Below are 19,992 nucleotides of genomic sequence, written 5' to 3'. Positions count from 1 at the left end.
CTGGGGTTTCTTTTGTAAGGGCTTTAATTCCATTCCTGCCTTCATGACCTAATCACCTCCCAAAGGCCCCATCATCACATCGATGATTAAGTTTCAACATATGAATTTGAGGGGCACAAACATTCAGATGATATCACCATCATATAAAAATGAGCTTTCACATGTAAAGTAGCTTTATTTTTGAAGCCCAAAGGTCAAGTTCAGTCTAACTTGGAAAGTCATCCCTATTTGTCAAAGAATAAGAAAAGTATTTCCAAATGGTGAATTCAGAGGAAATGCTTTATCGTTATTGTTGTCTAATATTACTAAGAGGCTTTTCCTATATATTATTGCAGCAATCAGACAAAAGCTTTTTCAGTTAATGTGTGATCACAAACAATAAAGCTATGATGTTATCCAATAAATTAATATTTTCAATTTACCTTAAAATCTATGAATGCTGTTCTTTTGATATAATTGAGTACTTAGTTTGGTAAAATTTTAAAGCTGGAAGGTATACCATATATCATCTTGTCTAGACCTCTTATTTTACAGATATATAATCTGAGTACTTAAACCTTGGAGGCCTACACAGGACTGGAAACTCATTCTCTTGATTTCTAGTTTGGTATTCTTTCCAACACCTTTAGTCATTATTTTATCAGAAGATATCTGGAATTAAATGCTTTCAAATGCTTGTTTGAAGTTTTTAAGTTTCACTTATCGTTGCATTATACAGCAAGATAGGAACAGATCATTTATCTGATACAGAGGCAATAAACTGTGTGCAATTATTTACTTTCTTTATCTTTGTTTTCTTAATCTATTATTATCCAGATAAGATCAGTTAAAAATAATAGGACCTTGATTTCTTTTTTATAAATATCTTTAGGGTTGTCCCTGGATATAATGGTAAGGGACTGTATGTTTCTACCACATGATGCTAGAAATAGGGCTATATGTTTCTTTATTCCTCTTATGAAATAAAATATAGTCCTAGTGTCACTATTAGTAAAGGAAGCATTTTAATATTTAATAATGTGCTTCTGTACAATTCAGGATTTATTGTTAAATTTGGTTTTCTACAAATATTTTTTATCTTTGACATTATTGAGAAATGAGACTTTCTTAAAGCGTATTTTATTTCACTTTTTAAATAATTACTAAAATATTACTTTATATTTGGCTCTATATTAAATGGTAATAATTGTACCAGTAATCCTAAGGAGTACCCTGAAGTCTTTGGCTGAGTGCTGATCTGCACATGTGTGGAGCAAAACTTCGTAAGAAAAGGACCATCAGAGAGTAGAAGACACAACAACAGGATGGCAAAAATTCGCATTTCTGATAGCCAGAATGATAAACCTTCTGTCAGAAGACAAAATTATAATACATTTAAAGATCTTAATTGGCTTATTTGCCAGAATGGGGCAGCATTTCATTCCATAAAATAGAATATATGTTCCAGTGAGCTGAGCAAAAGAAGTTGGTTTTATAGACAGAGAAGGAACGGGGGGAGAAACAAAGAATAAAGAGCAGATTGGTTTTTTAAAGTTCCTTTCCTTGTATATCAGGAAAAGGAAAACAGAATAACAGAAGAATAACTGGTTAACTTCAGGTTACTTTTTGTTGTCAAGATTAAAACAGAGGGAGCTTCATTACCATACTGGTTGGAAATTTAAACTGGCCTGTTTGGGAAGTTGGCTCTCTTTCTCTCCCAATTTCTTGGAAGGTGAATTAACAAGTTAGTTTTGGTTTGATGACATAGAACTTCAGCACGAGTGACTTCATTTTGATTGTTAGTCTGGTCTGTTGGGGCCTAGTTCAGGAGCTTAGTCCAATGGCTTGTAATTTTTATTCAATATTCAATATACCTGGGGCATCAGGTAGAATCATCAGGAAGGTCACACCTTGATAGTGGGGTTAATTTATCCCTAGAGTAAAGTCTTCTCTGAATATGCTCTATCAAAACCTAAACCTGGGCCAGGAGCGGTGGCTTACGCCTGTAATCCCAACACTTTGGAAGCCGAGGCAGGCAGATCACGAGGTCAGGAGATCGAGACCAGCCTGACCAACGTGGTGAAACCCCATCTCTACTAAAAATACAAAAATTAGCTGGGCATAGTGGTGCACGCCTGTAATCCCAGCTACTCAGGAGGCTGAGGCAGGAAAATCGCTTGAACCCGGGAGACGGAGGTTGCAGTGAGCCAAGACTGCACCACTGCACTCCAGCCTGGGTGACAGAGTGAGACTCCGTCTGAAAAAAAAAAAAAAAAACCTAAACCTGAAAACGGATATCAAGTAATGGCATGCCAGACCAAGGTCCAACACTCTTTAAAGAAATAGAAGAAAATCCAGCACTCACCAAAGTAAAAATCGTGTCTATTAGTTTCCTAGGGCTGTTGTAGCAAACTACCACAAACTTGGTGGCTTAAAACCTAAGACATTTATTCATTCACAGTTCTGGAAGCCCGGAGTCTGAAATCAGGTTAGTCAAGGAGAAAGCATAAAGAAGGTGGTGGGATCCAGATGCCATATTGCCTTATTAGACTGGCACAGAGAAGTTCCCAAATGATTATGGGCCCAATTGAAGTAGGGCTGAAGGAAAAAGTGCTCAAGCGTGTGAATTTATTCAGTGCTTAGCTTGTCGAATGACTTGGAGGTATTACGAACATCAATTATTGGATTGCATTGTGGATAAAACTGTAAGGAACAGCTATGCTGCTGAACTCTACTGGTTGGTGTTCCCTCAGTACACTGGTTTCATTGACCAGGCGTCACTGAGAATTCTTCAGAGACCACTATAATAATATTTAATCCCTTGAAAGATAATACAGAAAGGAATTCCCCTAATGTCTTACAACAGCCTGGCAGACTCTGCCTAAATCAAGAAATGGTGTTTCCAGCAGTGCTGGAAAAGAGTGAAAATAGTGTGTCAAAAAAACAAAACTTGCCAATCCAGTGACACTGAGACCATGATTATGACCAAGCAACCCCTCAAGCTTTGAGAAAAAGAAGAACTCTATTTCAAATATGTGAACAGTGGTCAAAATTTGACCACGTGGATTTTGTGAAACATCTCTTTTTCTAGTCCTGTCATTACCAAGATGGACATATTAGCTCGTGTCTTTAAACTTCTGTCACAGAAAGATTTCTTAATTACTCTGTCAGCTCAAGATTTGAGTCATATTGCTGAAGATATTCTCCTACATGCCAAACCACAGGGTGCAAGAAATGGTATGTTATAAAAGACACTCATCAAAAGAATGGTCAAGAAAGATATTTCTATAGTGATGCCTGACTGAACAAGGAGAAAATAGACTGTTACTTCAGAACAAACCTCTGGATAGGACTGTGCCACCTAACTGCTTTATAGAACTTTAATTTATTATAAAATATTGAAATAATAAAATCTAATTGGACATAGGGAAGTTATGATTTACTCACAATCCACTGCCAAATTAACACAAGCAAAGAAGTTTACTACATACAATATGATGATCAGAAGACAGTAAGTGATCTTCATATGAGAAGTTCACAGCACATTGGATAAAAACGCTGAAATACAAGCAGATTCCCGTGAGCCACGCTGTTTTTGTCCTTCAGTGTGTTAAGGGAATAATCCTAACTGAATGGTTAGATTCGGCTGCCGGCATGTGGACAGATGGTAGCATGTGAAACCACCCTGATTCCTCATTGCGTAGCAATTCTGTACAGTCATACCTTGAAGATATTGCCGGTTTGGTTCCAGACCACTGCAATACCGTGAATATCACAGTGAAACAAGCCACACAAATTTGGGGGTTTCTCAGTACATAGAAAACTATGTTTAAAACTATGTTTACTGTAGTCTATTAAGTATGTAGTAGCACCATGTCTAAATGATCAGTGTACATACGTTAGTGAAAAAAATACTTGATTGCTAAAAAATACCAATGATCATCTCAGCCTTCAGCAAGTCATCTTTTTACTGGAGGCAGGTCTTGCCTCAGTGTTGATGGCAGCTGACTGACCAGACTGATAGTTGCTGAAGGTTGTGGTGACTGTGGCAATTTCTTAAAATAAGACAAAAATGAAATTTGCCACATCGATTGACTCTTCCTTTCACAAAAGATTTCTCTGTAGCATGTAGTGCTGTCTGATAGCATTTTACCCAAAGTAAAACTTTGAGAATTGGATTCAGTACTCTCAAACCCTGCTGCTGCTTTATCAACTAAATTTATGTGATATTCTAAATCCTCTGTTATTTCAGCAAGAGTCACAGCATCTTCACGAGGAGTAGATTCCATCTGAAGAAACCACTTTCTTTGTTCATCCATAAGAAAGAACTCTTTATCCATTCGTTTTATCATGAGATTGCAGCAATTCAGTCACGTGTTCAGGCTCCACTTCTAATTCTAGTTTTCTTGCTGTTTCCACCAAATCTCCAGTTACTTCCTCCACTGAAGTCTTAAAACCCTCAGAGTCATCCATGAGGGTCAGAATAAACCTTCCACACCCCTGTTAATGTTGACAATTGGATGTCCTCCTATGAATCACAAATCTTCTTAATGTCATCTAGAATAGTGCATCCTTTCCAGAAGGTTTTCAACTTACTTGCTCGTATTCATCAGAGGAATCACTGTCTATGTCAGCTATGGACTTAAGAAATACATTTCTTAAATAACAAAACCTGAAAGTCAAAACTACTCCTTGATCCATGGGCTGCAGAATGGTTGTTGTTGTAGCTGGCATGAAAACAACATTTATCTCCTTGTGCATCTCCATCAGAGCTCTTTGGTAGACCAGTGAGAAGTAATATTTTGAAAGGAATCTTTTTTTCTGAGCAGAAGGTCACAAAGCAGTAGGGCTTAAAATATTCATTAAACTGTGCTGTAGATGGATGGGCTATCATCTAGATTTGTTCTTCCATTTATAGAGGAGAGACAGAGTAGATTTAACATAATTCTTAAGGGCTCTGGGATTTTTGAAATGGCAAATGAACACTGGCTTCAACTTGAAGTCACCAGCTGTATTAGTTCCTAGCAGGAGAGTCAGCCTGTTCTTTGAAGCTTTTAAGCCAGTCATTGACTTCTCCTCTCTAGCTATGAAAGTCATAGACGGCATCTTCTTCCAATATAAGTCTGTTTAAATCTCCATTGAGAAAATCTATTCTTTAGTATAGCCACCTTCATTAGTGATCTTACCTAGAGCTGGATAACTTGCTGCAGCTTGTACCTCAGCACTTGCAGCTTCACCTTGCACTTTTATGTTACGGAGATGGCTTCTTTCTTCACACTTCATGAAGCAACCTCTGCTAGCTTCCAACTTTTCTTCTGTAGCTTCCTCACGTTTCTCAGCCTTCATAGAATTGAAGAGAGTTAAGGCTTTGCTCTGAATTGGATTTTGGCTTAAGAGAATGTTGTGGCTTGTTTGATCTTCTATCCAGACCACTAAAACTTCCATATCAGCAATAAGGCTGTTTTGCTTTCTTATCATTCATGTGTTCACTGGAGTAGCACTTTTAATTTCCTTCAAGAACTTTTCCTTTGTATTCATAACTTGACTGTTTGGCACAAAATGCCAGTTTTTTGCTTCTATCAGCTTTCTACATCCCTTCCTCACTAAACTTAATCATTTCTAGTTTTTTATTTAAAATGAAGGACTTGCAACTCTTTTCATTTGAACACTTAGGGGCCATTATAGAGTTATTAATTGGCCTAATTTCAATACCATTATATCTCAGGGAATAGGAAGCCCAAGGAGAAGGGGAGAGAGACCTGGTGGTAGGGGGTAAGAGGGTGGAGGTTGGTTGGTGAAGCAATCAAAACATACACAACATTTATCAATTAAGTTATTGTCTTCTATGGCTATGGTTTATGGCACCCCAAAAGAATTACATTGGTAGCATCAAAGATCACCTATCATAGATCACCATAACAGATATAATAATAAAGGAAAAATTTGAACTGTTGTAAGAATTACCAGAATATGACACACAGACACAAGTAAGCACATGCTGTTGGAAAAAAATGGCCTTGATAGACTTGCTCAATGCAGGGTTGCCACAAACCTTCAGTTGGCAAAAAAATGCAGTATCTACATGTTTGGGAAAAACTTTCCAACCATGTTTTCACTGTGTTCTCACACCACAATTAACACAGAAGACTTCCATGACCAGCTAGATGTACTCCAATTCAATTCTAGTACCCTCTACTTGAAGACAGTGTCGGATCCCACAGGTTGAGGGCTCAGTCCCCAAGACTGCCCCCCACCCCAGGCACCATTCACAAGTACAGGCTTCCAGAACTTTTGACCAACCGGCTTCAAGTTGGGGTTCCCACAACCCCCTCTTCCAGTTCACTTAATTTGCTGGAGTAACTCATGGAACTCAGGGAAACACTTACTTATATTTACTGATTTATTACAAGGCATGTTGCAAAGGAAACAGATGAAGAGATACGTAGAGCGATCTATGAAGGAAGGAGGGGAAGCTTCTTTGACCTCCCTGGGGCATGACTCTCCTGGAACCTCCATTTGTTCAGCTATTTGGAAGCTCTGCTAACCCAGTCCTCTTAGGTTTTTGTGGAAGCTCCGCGACATCAGCATTCCTTCCTCCAGGGTAGAGGGGGGAAGGACCCTCTGATTGCTCATAAGACCTACAGTCAGAAAGGTAGGGGGTGGTGATTAGAGCCCTACCTTGGGGCAGGTAAAAGGAGAGCAGAAGGAGATCAGAGACATTCTGTTTTCTGAGGCCTGCCCCTAAGGCCTAACATACCCACCATTAAACCAAAAAACTGTAACAAGGGATATGGGAGTTATGAACCAGGACCTGCAAACAGAAACATAATACATATTATAACACCACACTGTGAAATACAATAAAATGAGGTCTGCGTGTACTTGAATGTCAACAATGGTATTACGATGACATGCTCCAATTTCTTTGCTTTAGAGAACGTAGCCTCACCAGTCATCACCCTCCCAAGGATGCTGGTTGTAGAGTTTTATGACAAAGACATTTCTACATCCGGAGATGACAGCTTAATAGTGTGGAAAACGGTTCTGTAAGTTGCTGAGGACCTGAAATGGATACAAGTGAGGCATTACACATTTGTAGTTTTAGGCTGGGGTGGTAGTAAGTGGTTCATCTGACACCATCAGGTTTAAAAGTGTACTAGCCTGCTAGGGCTGCCCTAACAAAATACCACAGACTGGGTGGTTTTGCAGAAATTTATTTTCTCAGTGTGTTATGTATATGTATGTCGACTGCTACTCATCCATTTTAAAAAGTATGAAATAATGTATTTTGCAGCAACCTGTATGGGAATGGGACCATTATCCTAAGTGAAGTAACTCACGAACAAAAAACCAAATACTACGTGTTCTCACTTAAAAGTAGGAGCTAAGCTACACAAAGGCATACAGAGAGGTATAATGGACATTGGAGAGTCAGAAGAGTGGAAGGAGGGTGGGAGAGGGATGAAGAATGAAAAATTACCTGTCGGGGGCCAGGTGCAGTGGTTCACGTCTGTAATCCCAGCACTTTGGGAGGCCAAGGCAGGCGGATCACCTGAGGTCAGGAGTTTGAGACAGCCTGGCCAACGTGGTGAAACCCCATCTCTACCTCAAATACAAAAATTGGCTGAGCATGGTGGCGGGTGCCTGTAATCCCAGCTACTCAGGAGGCCAAGGCAGGAGAATAGCTTGAACCCGGGAGGCAGAGGTTGCAGTGAGCCGAGATGGCGCCACTGCACTCCAGCCTGGGCAAGAGAGCAAGACTCTGTCTCAAAAAAAAAAAAATTACCTGTGGGGTACAGTGTATACTATTTACATGACAGGTACACTGAAAGCCCAGACTTCACCACTGTACAATTCATCCATGTAACCAGAAACCACTTGTACCCCTAAAGCTATTGAAATAATTTTTTTAAAAAAGAAGAAGAAGAAGAAATTTATTTTCTCACAATTCTGGAGGCTAGAAGACCAAGATCAAGGTGCTAGCACAGTCGGTTTCTCCTACTGCCTCTCCTGCTGGCTTGCAGATGGCCACTTTCTCACTGTATCTTCCTCTTATAAAAATGCCAGTCCTGTTAATCCAGGCCCCACCCCTATGATTTCATTTAACATGAATTACCTCCGTAAAGGCCATGTCTTCAAATACATTCACATTGGGAGCTAGGACTTCAACCTATGAATTTTGAGTGACACAATTCAGTCCATAACAGTCACAGAATGCAGAACATGTTTACAGATACTAGTGGGCCATGCAAAATTGATGTGTGTATTTGGTTCTGTAAGAGAATAATCAGTAGGTACTGTAATAGAAAAGGTGTAATGTGGGCTCTCATAGGCTTTTTGGACCCCTGTGCCTCTGAAGGGATTCTTTTATCAAGACACCCCTGTGTGTAAAATTCAGGAAAATTTTTCAGACTTCACTTGATAAGCTTCAGACTTTCCGAGGTTCACACAGTGACACAGCCTGATGTAGGATTTCGTAAGTGATTCTGTTGCCTAAGCTGAATCCTTCCCAGCAGCCACCTAGGGCTCCAGACAAATAAGCATACATTAATCTCATCTTTGCATGAGACTCATTAAAGTTGTGTTTTGTACCACACCCAGGATAAGGAACAACAGGAACAAACCATCACAGAGTTTCCTGGAACTAGGGGAAGAGAAAGAAAGAAGGGAAGGAAGGAAAGAGATTGAGACTGGGTTTAAGTCTTGATTCTATCACTTACTAGTTTACTTGACTTTAGAGAAGTTCCTAAATTTCTCTGGACATCAAATACCTCTTTTGTAAAATGGAAATAAAGATACATGGCCTGACCAAGTTGTCATAAGGATTAAGCAGAATAACACCTAAACAGCTAGCATGGTATCGAGAACATGGTGAGCACTCAGCACATTTTAATTAGCTTTCCTCTCCTATGATAGTACCAGGTAAGAGACTGAAAGAGAAATTTGGAGAACAAAGAGAAAAGTTAAAGTTCCGCTTGTATGTAAGTGACTTAACATCAGTATACTAAAATTATAACTTGTGGCCGGACGCAGTGGCTCACGCCTGTAATCCCAGCACTTTGGGAGGCCAAGGCGAGCAGATCACCTGAGGTCAGGAGTTCGAAACCAACCTGACCAACATGGAGAAACCCCGTCTCTACTAAAAATACAAAAATTAGCCAGGCGCGGTGGTGGGCGCCTGTAATCCCAACTACTCAGGAGGCTGAGGCAGGAGAATCGCTTGAACCCGGGTGGCGGAGGTTGCAGTGAGTGTAGATCACACCAGTGCACTCCAGCCTGGGCGACAGAGCCAGACTCCATCTCAAAAAAAAAAAAAAAAATTGTAATTTGTAAACCTTAAATAACACCCTGCATCGCATGTTGTAAATTAGATACTATGCTAAGCTGTACAATAGGCATTGCATTTGAGCCAGTTGAATTAAATTATCATTACTGCCCTTATATGGTGACAGCAGTTAAGTCCAAACTCATTCGTTAGAATTGCCTGATGTGTTAATAAATATTGTTAAATGGATTAAAAGGTATCAGAAACAGTTATGTGAACTGTAATGGAATCCTCTGGTTAAAACCTTTCTGTGCCTTTCCATTGGCCATATTATTGAGTCTGAACTTTATCAACATGCATGATCTGAGCCCTGCTTACTCCATGAGCCTCAGCTTCTCCTAACCTTCTATCTCAGCTCTCACGTCTAATGCCGGGTTCCCACCACATGGGACTCTTAGGTTTCTCTTCCCTGGACTCTCACGTGCTGTGCACACTGAGACATGCTATAAATATATATATATATATATATATGTATATATAACTATATATGTAATTTTCCATTACATATGTAGTTGTATAACCTATACATTTTCAGATACTGTTTAAGTAGAGGGGAAAACAGCATAAATGTATTATTTAGTATAGATGTTATTATGTCCTACTTTATACAGTGTATCAGATCTAAATCTAAAATGAATTGAGGTCTTCCTGCCTTTAACTACTATAAGGGATTTTTTTCTTCTTCTTTTTTTTTAGAGACAAGGTCTTCCTGCGTCACCCAGGCTGAAGTGTAGTAGTGCAGTCATAGCTCACTGCAGCCTCCAAACCCTGGGGCTCAAGTGATCCTCCCACCTCAGCCTCCTGAGTGCTAGGACTGCAGGCACACACTACCACAGCCAACTAATTTTTTTTGTTGTTTTTTTATATAGAGATGGAGGTCTGGCTTTGTTGCTCAGGTTGATCTCTAACTCTTGGCTTCAAGCAGTCCTCCTGCCTCGGCCTCCCAAAGTGCTGAGACTACAGGCATGAGCCACCATGCCCAGCCAAGGATTTTTAAATGCCTGTGCAGCCACTGCCATATCATTTTGACTTGGGTTTTCAAAAGAAAAGGAAGTCAAATATAATGATTATTGTAACACAAAGAAGAGGATTCTCATGAAAAGGCTTTTCCTCTTAAATTCGTATCAAGTAAAAATAACTTATATGGATACTTTTTAAAGATAGAAGGCTTAAGTTGTTGATATAAAACATCAAAAAATATGTATGTGTGTAGAGAAATTTATCTCAAAAAAAGACATTAACAGTAAACCAAGCAATACAATCAGATTGTTCCATTGAGTTTTTCCTTTTTGTAAAACTGTAGACCTTCTGAAGAATTTTTTTTCAGATGCATCTGCTTAGCACAGAGAATGAGACATAAAGGTAGTATAAAACAATTCTAAAAAAGTAAATGGTGTGTGAGCTTTTTTTTATTTGCTTCACAAGTAATTTACTTTAAAAAATTAACATCTGCTATTTTGAAGCTAATCTTAGTGTATTGAATGCTCGTAACCATTTCTCAATCCCACAGTCTTTTATCTTGCTTCTCCTGCTGTGTTCCCACCACCCCTCATCCCATTAGCAAACCTTGAGACAGCCTCACACTTACCAAAGTACTGCTTTGGTTTCAGCTGCTCTTCTGCAAGAGGAAGTGAATGTTGGGGGTTTTCTCTGTGGTACAGTTGTGATAAAGCTGTGGTGGTCTTATCTCTCTCTTAGGTAGTGGCTCTTTATGACTACACAGCGAATCGATCAGATGAACTAACCATCCATCGCGGAGACATTATCCGAGTGTTTTTCAAAGATAATGAAGACTGGTGGTATGGCAGCATAGGAAAGGGACAGGAAGGTTATTTTCCAGCTAATCATGTGGCTAGTGAAAGTAAGTTTTATGCTCCCTTCCTGGTTTACTAGTATGGTATAACTGATAGTCCAAGATTTTATCATTTTCTAGTCTTTAATTTACTGTCTTTGTAACCTTTGCATATGTTTACCAATGGGTATTGTTTTTCATTCTCATGATGTAAAAAAATAAAAAGAGGAGGCACTAGTACATTAGAAGCTGCTCCATTCTGAGATTGGAATGTTTGTTTCATGGACTTCTTATCCTCGGGGACCCTGCCCCTCTAGCTACCAGCTTTCTTATTCAACTCATTTGACCCTGCCACCTGCCTCATGCACAGTTCTGTCAGTTCTTCTCTAGCCACAGTGCCTCCTCAGCTGACTGGCATCTTAAGAGCTTCTAGTTCCCCAACTGCATTCTTTTACTTTGTATACCTCAGTCCTATCTGGTTACCTGTGAAAACAAAACTACAATAAGTTGTTTCATTCTCAAGTAAATTTAGCCCTCATTTATGGGGGAAAAAATGAGCCAGAGCTGAAAATATGTAAGCACAAAGTTGATAAATGACAATTATTTAAAAGTTATGTGCACGTGTTGACAAAGCCTAGAACTTACCATGTGATGTGACAAGACTGTATGAACCTTTCTTGTATTTTAATTTCTACTTCGTGTTTTAATAATGGTTTTTGTTCATTAAATAATAGCTTAAAATGAAAAAAAAAAGAGCTAGGGAAGAAAATCTAAATATGAGTTTCTGAAAGCTGTAGATTCACCACTAGGCCTTGAGAGGTGAAAACAGAACGAACGCAGAGAGCCTGAAAACAAAAATAATAATAACTTAAAACTGTCATTAAAGGGGAGAAGTACAGTAGTGCTTCTTGAGAAGAATGCATTCTATCCACAATTAACTTGATAGCATGCTAGGAAAAGCACAACACTCAGGGGTCAGGAAAACTGACTTCTAACCTCAGCTCAACATCTTACACTCATACGCCCCAGTTACCTTCTGTAAAATGAAGGAATTAAATGATATTATCTGTAAGCTTTTCTTCTGTAAGCACAAAAATTCTGGTTCTGATTCAAAATGTAGTATAGGCGGGCCAGGCACTGTGGCTCACGCCTGTAATCCCAGCACTTTGGGAGGCCGAGGCAGGCAGATCACTTTAGGTCAGGAGTTCGAGACCAGCCTGGCCAACATGGCAAAACCTTGTCTCTACTAACAATACAAAAAATGAGCCAGGCGTGGTGGTGGGCACCTATAATCCCAGCTACTTGGGAGGCTGAGGCGGGAGAATCGCGTGAACCCGGGAGGCAGAGGTTGCAGTGAGCCAAGATCGTGCCACTGCACTCCAGCCCAGCAACAGAGCAAAACTCTGTCTCAAAAAAAAGAAAAAAAAGTTGTAGTATAGGCAGCCTTGAAATTGAGAACAATCTGTGTTTTGAATATTTAAGTCTTTTGTTTCTGCAAAGAAATAATTATTATAAATAATAATTGGTTTTCAGGCTAGTCCATGAAACTGTTTAACCCAAAACTACGACTAAACAAAAATATTATTGATTCTAACCTAAGTTTTCAATTTTGACAGCCAAAGAGATGAAGGAATGGAAGAATTTCCTTCGTGATTACCGGATGCTGGGCTAAGCCTAGATAAAATTATCTGTCTTTGGCACCTTCCCACGACCTTGTCTTCAGCCAGGTCCTTCCCATTGCTCCCCTCCCCAGTCTCTCAAGTGCCCTAAGTCCCATTGCAGCTCCCTTCTTCAGTTTATCTGCCACAGTCAGCAGACTCCTCCCCTAAAAAGTTCTATGTGTCTCAAAAATTGTACCACTTCTCACTCTCATAAAATTCTTAATGTCTTCTGTGTAGCTGTTTTAGTTACCTTCTTGTAAGTAGTGAATGACATATAACTTTTTTTTTCTTTCTTTCTTTTTTTTCTGAGACGGGGCCTCACTTTGTCACCCAGGCTAGAGTGCAGTGATGCAGTCACGGCTCACTAAAGCCTTGACCTCCCGGGCTCAAGCAGTCCTCCCATCTCAGCCTCCTGAGTAGCTGGAACTACAGGGGCATGCTACCATGCCCAGCTGATTTTGACACATAACTCTTAAACTCTGTTAGAGGTATATTTTTGTGTTTAGAAGAGGTTGTGTAATGGAAAAAACATAGGCCGTATGAAAGGAAGAAATTTTAGGGCAAGTTAATTCCCATGTAGGTATAAGACAGCATATAAGTTCCATAAGCTCAGCACTTCTAACTTCCAGATCATCTAAAATAGCCAAGTTCCTTCTTCTCATTGTTGGGTCTCCCACAGGGTCAACAGCTGAGGTTAAACAGGAGTAGCTTCTGTTTAAATCAAGCTTTTTAAATCAAGAGCTGCTGGCACAATGGTAGTCACTCTGGAGTATGCCTCATTTTAACGAAATATTACAATCCATTACTCTTTTCATGTACAAATGGAAATATTTTTTAAATTTTCTCCCTTGTGTATCTCTAGGCAGGGTGGGATTAAGTGCTTTAATTTGAGAATGTAGTTTACAAAAATAACCTCTTAGGCTTGCAGATCTTGAGAGGATATAGATATTTGAGCTACAGTGAATTAAAAAGCTAATGAGGCCAGATGCAGCAGCTCATACCTGTAATCCCAACACTTCAGGAGGCTGAAGAGGGAGGATCACTTGACGCCAAGAGTTTGAGACCAGCCTGGGCAATATAACAAGACTCCATCTCCACAAAAGATAAATTTTTTTTAAAAGCTAATAAAATTTGTTCTTCTTCCATGATGATCAAAGCCAGACCTCTGAAGCATATTGCAGTGATGAGTTGATGGCTACGTACAGAAATAAATTCTTTGTCTCAATGATGACCATCTTTCAACTGCCATAATTCCTTATTGTATCCCAGAATAATTTATGTTTTCTTTTGGCATCAGTCACTGCTTTAAAAAGCCTTGTATAGACCAGAACAAACAAAAAAAAAAAACTTAGAAAAATCTGCGACTGTAATGATTGAACTCTCACACTTCATTAGGGGTTATTTCCCTTTCCCTTTTATCCTTTTTTTACCTGAATTTAACAAAAAACTCAATTGCCCAGTTTTAACATTAGAGAAAAAAATGACTGTCAGTAGCATATTCTAGTCTAAAAATAGTAGGAAGAATTGTCCTTGATCTTTATCTGAAGCCAACTATGCAAAGTGAATTATCTAAGGGAGTATAAGAGCAGAATCTAAGGAAGTATACAAGCAGATACTCTAAGAGAGCCTGTCCTCTAAGAGAACAACACAATAAAAGAAGTTCGTACTCCCACTGTTACAAGGAACTTACTCTCTTTGTATCTTAAGGCACTGTAAAGAACAACATGATCAGCTTCCCCCATCACATCTAACACCCTCAAAATATGAGATAAACCCAATAATAAAATCACTCCACATACAAAGACAATTAGTATATCTCATAATCTTAGTTGTACAATTTTGATCAAGTATATCTCAGCAATTTCTTTCAGTTCAGAGATGTTCTTAACCAAAATATATTTTTGTTTTAACCCTTTAAAATTTGCACATAGCTCTTTAGATTCAATACCCTATGTAGATTCAATAGATTATATAGAATATTGGATTGTAAGAATCTTAAATTCAACACTGTATATAGATTCAATATCATATATAGTCCTAACTCCATGCTTATTGATTTCATATCGTCTTCCCAAATTATCATTTCCTTTTTTTTGAGACAGAGTCTCGCCCTGTCTCCCAGGCTGGAGTGCAGTGGCGCTGTCTTGGCTCACTGCAACCTCCACCTCTCAGGTTCAAACAATTCCCATGCCTCAGCCTCCCAAAGCTGGGACTACAGGTGCACGCCACCATGCCCAGCTAATTATTATATTTTTGGGTAGGGATGGGGTTTCACCATGTTGGCCAGGCTGGTCTCAAACTCTTGGCCTCAAGGGATCTGCCCACCTCGGCCTCCCAAAGTGTTGGCATGAGCCACCGCGCCCTGCCCCCAAATTAGTTTTTCTGCGTACCTCTGACTGGTAAAATCCTACCTAGTCTTCAGAGTCTGATACACCTACCACTTCTTCCATTAAGCATTTTCCATCCCCACATCAGAGTTTGTCTTTGTAATTATTTCACTTTCAAATAATGTCACATTTATTTTATGGTTACTTGTAAACATGTCTTTCTCTGACCAGACTGTAAGCTCCTTGCTAATGAAGACTATCTTTTGATGATCTCCATATGTTCTCCAACAGTTCCTAGCAGATATCCTGGCATTTAGCAGGTCCCTGGTAAATGTGTATTGAGATAAAATAAAATAAGCATCTGTCTGACCAGATAATAAGTGAAAATGACACCTTCTGCATTTCTGAAATCCAGATGATTAAAATTTTCCAATCATAGTTCTTTTGATAACTAATGAGTAAAATTGCAAATTGCCGTAACAAGTAAGTTTTAGGTATCTTATTGGTACACCAAGGAATTGAATATCGATTTCTTTAATTTCATATTTGCCCCTACCATCGTTGTTTTTCCCCCATGGAGCAGTGCTCCTCAATTTGATTACATGAATTCCTTTTTCCAATTTCAGCACTGTATCAAGAACTGCCTCCTGAGATAAAGGAGCGATCCCCTCCTTTAAGCCCTGAGGAAAAAACTAAAATAGAAAAATCTCCAGCTCCTCAAAAGGTAAATGTTTTTGAGCATACGTATTACATATGTACTTTGATTTTCACTCTCTCTGGATAAAATATTACTTTATTTTTTATGCTTATTATCCTTCATTGTTCACATTATTTTTTATGTCTTGGTACAAACATCATTATGAAATACATAAGGCAAACGTTATAGCCATTTTCCAGATAAGGAAACTGAGGAGGCCCAGAGAGGTTAAAGTAGACTCCAAGTCACAGCCTAAGTGATGGGACAAGGACCCAAAGTAGAACTTGTGGCTTTAGGTGTGCTGTTTCTACTCTGCACTTATTTCTTTAACTGTGATACTGACAGTGTCATCAGCCCCACCTGAGAGGTAAACATTTATGCTAGAGCTCACTGGAGTTCACAAAATTAAGAAGTTCTGTCTTTCTGGAGCATTCCTTTTACTTGCAAATAATTTAAAATGTTTTTACGTTAAAATGAATGTGGATGTATTACCAGCCAGAGTAGCCAGAGAAATGTCATGTATTTTAGTCTGTGTCATCAGACCCTTCAGGGATATTAATCAGTATTCTTCTGTTGTTAGCAGTACTTTGGTAGAAAGGTTTAATAAGCACTGTACTATCATGTATATTGCTTACTAAACTTGTTTTATTATATTAAATTAGCTCTTCCCTTACACTGAATAACCTCACTGCTTCTTGATTCCATGAACCAACATAGATTTTTTTTACAAATACATTTCATGTACATATCATTACAGTGTCAAAATAAAGTTTTTTGACAGTTGAACCTGACGTATATCATTCAGTCAGTCAGCATGTTTTATTGAATGCCTTCATCCATGCGCTCTATTAATCCCCACTGAAACAGGAGTTTCAGGAGTAGGCAAGGCACTTGCCCTTAAGTTGCTTACAGGCTGGTGCACACACCTGCAAGCAAGCAAGTCCAGTAGACTCTGGTAGAAACTATAATGCAGATATGTACACAGTATATTGGGAACACATACAAAGAAAGCCTCTTAAATATACCCTGGGGGAGTCCATGAAGAGTTCCCAAGGAGGAAATACTTGACCTGAGGCATCTAGGATGCAAAAATATGTGTTAGGTCAGTGAAGTTAGAAAAACCTTTCCAGCAGAGGGAATAACGTGAGTAAGTTATGGGATGGTATGATTATGTCTGGGCATAAGTTCTAATAGAGAGAAGTACAGGAGAAATCCAGGAACCAGGCCACAGAAGAGCGTAGCATACTCTACTAAAACACTTAAATTTTATACTCCTGACGAAGGGGATCCCCTGAAGGACGTAATTCAGGGAATGACATGAACAGATTTGCATGTTAGAAAGGTCATTCTAGTGCAGCAGAATAGTTGCTGAATTTGAGGTAGCTAAGGACCTAGCACAAGGAAATTAGGAATCCATGGAAATAAAATACAAAAACCTGAACTAGGGGGGATGGAGGTCAGGGGACATAAGCTGTAATTGACAGGATTTTATGATTGATTGGATTTTATTAGTGAAGTTGGAATCTAGGATTTTGCTAAGGGTCTTAGACAACTGAATAAATAGTGGTGCCATAGAAGTAATGAAATAAATAAGAAAGATTTGGGAAGACAGGGAAAAGGAATCACCATTCCTTGCAGAGTAAGATATGATAAGCTCAGTTTTAGATATCTCAATTTGTTAGTAGTATCTGTAGTGCTCCCAGATAGAAATATTCACTGGGAGCCAGAAATGCAGGATTGGAATTTGAGAGAATGTAGAGCTTCAAAATCAAATGAGAATTAGTGTGTTAGTTCTATTATATCAGTAAGTGGAAGCTTGTAATGAAGGCAGAGCCCAGAAAGTATGTCATAGAGCTATAAGAGGAGAAGGCCAAGGACAGAACCTAATTAAACACTAGTATTAAGGGACAGTCAAAGGAAGAGAAAATTAAGAAAGAATAAAGGAAAAGGAAAAAAAGAAAAAATAATAAACAGAAAAAAGTGCCCTGGAAGCCAGAAGAGGTAGAGAGGTTCAAGAAGAGTATAGTTGGAAACAGCCAAGCAGTTAGGTTGTCGAAGCATTTGGTCATCAAGAGGACCCTGGTAGCTTTGTACCGGTATCAATAGAGTGGCAAGGATTAAAGAGCAGAGTAAAGGTGGAATGAGGCCTCAGCATGTGAACTCTCATGGAAGCCATTCTCAAAGTTTCACTTTGAAGAATAAAAAAAGATTCCTCAGTGGCTAAAGGGAGGTCTGGTGTCCATGAATGATTTTTTAAATAATGGACAGATGTAAAATTATATATTAAGGAGACAAAGCCAATAGACAGGTTCAGGTTGAAGACAGATAAAGAAAGGACACCAAGGACACAGTGGATCTTGGAGGAAGCAGGAAGTACTTTATTGGAAAGACAGGTTGACAGATCAGTCTTGCTCCAAGCAGAGGGTTCTCAAGTGAGAGTGATTGTGCCATCCAGGAGTCATTTAGCAATGTTTGGAGATGTTTTTTTGTTTTCTCAACTACAAGGTGGGGGATAATACTGGTGGGCAGAGGTCATGGATGTTGCTCAGTATCCTAGAATGCAGAGGACAGCTCCCCTCAACAAAGAATTCTCTGGCCAAAAATGTCAACAGGATGGAGCTTAGAGCAGTGCCCCTCTAAACAGGTAAGTGTGGATAGGGATGCAGATAAGTTAATAAAGGGTTGAAGTCTAGAAATTAAAGATATTTTTATGTTCTCCAAAACAAAAAGCAAGGTTCATTTCTAATGCGAGTGGCAAAGGAGTGAGATAGGAGCACAAGAAGAATAATAACCATCTGAGTAAGGAAAATAGGGGCTCATTTAGGACATATAAAAAGATTTCTTAGTAGTTCTGGGAGCTGCTCTTTTGGATACCATAAGAATGGAGGTGGCATAAATCTACAGTTGGATTTTTTCTTCTTCAGTAGTCTCTTCTCAGCATCTAGGGCATAGCAGTAGAGAAGGCAGATTTGGTTTAATATATAATTGGAGTTGTGAATGTGAAAGGAACACAAGAGGTTGAGAGACTTGATAGAATTGGTAAGAATTACCAGAGTGATGCACCATAGAGGATTATCCATTTGGAAAGGACGTAGAATCAGAAGATTGGCAGAGTTAGAAAGCACGTTCTCCTCTACAAGGTTACAGCAAGCTACCGGGGCCCAGGTAGAGGCATAGCATCACACGGAAAAGGAGTCACCAAGCTAGAACTATAGAGTTCAAGGCCATAAACTCTTTTGCTTATTTAGTATCTCAGATGTCAGGCAGCTCAGGTTATGATAAATTCATAAAGTATGTATAAAAGCTGAAGTGAAATTGAGGAACATGTTATTAGAGTTGAACTGGTCAAGGAACTAGGACCCAGAGTGTTGGACAGGTTGTACTCTTGAACATTAAGATTCCAGGATGATAGCAAGAGTTAGGATGAAGAGGAAACTGATGAACAAAGAGCTGACATACTTAATTCTTAGGTTAGAACAAAGGTCTCAACTTTGGCTTCACATTGAAATCACCAAACCAGTTAAAAAACTAGATATGGATTACAATCTCCACCCCTTCAAATACATTTAGTTGGTGAAATAGGACGTAGGCAAGGGCAGATTTCAAAAGCTTTCCAGGTAATTTTAATGTGCAGCCAATATTGACAGCCATTGTGTTAGAATGACCACAAGGTCTGCAGATCACAGATGCAAAGATAAGCAGGAGATGTAATAGCCAGGTGTCAGAGCACCCAAGGAAAAGTGCTTTGGCATTGCAATACCCTAAAATCAGCAGTAGGGAACTAAGAGGAGGCCATTGTTAACTCCCGGCTCTCATGGTTCATGAGAGAACCATGAACTATGTGAGAATGAGTAGCCTGTGCTGTAAGGAACTGAAAGAAAAATGGTTTCTTGGTAAAACATCAGTTTCAAATAAGCAAGGATATATGGTGATGGTTGCCTACAACAATGTAAGGACTGTAAGGGATACAGTCAAGAGGATTGGCAGGAATTTGATTATGGGCAAATGTTACAAGTGTAATATTACCCATTGTTTGTAATTCAGCAGCAGATTTAAGAATTTAGGAAAATGCTTGTCTTAGTTGTGTCTGCTGTAACAAATGTAGACTGGGTGGCTTAAATAACAAAATTTTTTTCTCACACTTCTGGAAGCTGGAAAGTTCATGATCAATGTGCTGGCAGATCCAGGGTCTGGTGAAAGTCTCCTTCCTG

General features: G+C 39.1%; 1 protein-coding gene, 1 long non-coding RNA gene and 1 pseudogene across 18 annotated transcripts in view, besides 3 other annotated features; 2 read left to right on the top strand and 1 right to left on the bottom strand.

The window, feature by feature from the left end:
• AHI1 (Abelson helper integration site 1) overlaps positions 1-19,992 on the top strand; it is a 214,209-nt gene that overhangs the window by 163,414 nt on the left and 30,803 nt on the right. For 12 of the 17 annotated variants that reach the window (XM_047418943.1, NM_001134830.2, XM_011535911.4 and 9 more), the window contains 2 exons: positions 11,003-11,165; positions 15,711-15,808. In XM_047418943.1, coding sequence (XP_047274899.1) covers positions 11,003-11,165; positions 15,711-15,808 — 261 coding nt within the window. Of the gene's footprint in view, positions 1-11,002; positions 11,166-15,710; positions 15,814-18,286; positions 18,430-19,992 lie in introns of those variants that run through there. The other 5 variants (XR_001743480.3, XM_017010979.3, XR_007059277.1 and 2 more) reach the window with 5 other exon arrangements.
• Positions 2,759-3,694, top strand: BTRCP1 (beta-transducin repeat containing E3 ubiquitin protein ligase pseudogene 1; annotated as a pseudogene).
• Positions 6,362-10,943, bottom strand: LOC124901407 (uncharacterized). The gene is made up of 2 exons (XR_007059783.1): positions 10,893-10,943; positions 6,362-7,041 (listed from the first exon to the last, which is right to left on the bottom strand). It is a non-coding gene; the product is annotated as an uncharacterized LOC124901407 (long non-coding RNA).
• Positions 9,402-9,696: a silencer, noted in NCBI's record as "tiled region #12318; HepG2 Repressive non-DNase unmatched - State 24:Quies". NCBI's record gives its function as "represses a minimal TATA promoter and a strong SV40 promoter by Sharpr-MPRA in HepG2 cells {active_cell/tissue: HepG2}" and the evidence as "EXISTENCE:reporter gene assay evidence [ECO:0000049][PMID:27701403]".
• Positions 10,853-11,000: a transcriptional cis regulatory region, noted in NCBI's record as "LH13598/TSS87020/XLOC_042889 sgRNA range targeted for CRISPR interference". NCBI's record gives its function as "positively regulates MYB gene expression in K562 erythroleukemia cells {active_cell/tissue: K562}" and the evidence as "EXISTENCE:mutant phenotype evidence [ECO:0000015][PMID:27980086]".
• Positions 11,342-11,481: an enhancer, noted in NCBI's record as "active region_25105". NCBI's record gives its function as "activates an Ori minimal core promoter by ATAC-STARR-seq in GM12878 lymphoblastoid cells {active_cell/tissue: GM12878}" and the evidence as "EXISTENCE:reporter gene assay evidence [ECO:0000049][PMID:35858748]".

The sequence above is a fragment of the Homo sapiens genome, chromosome 6 (genome assembly GCF_000001405.40).
Source record: "Homo sapiens chromosome 6, GRCh38.p14 Primary Assembly".
Classification (NCBI taxonomy): domain Eukaryota; kingdom Metazoa; phylum Chordata; class Mammalia; order Primates; family Hominidae; genus Homo; species Homo sapiens.
This window is presented reverse-complemented; position numbering and strand designations above follow the sequence as displayed.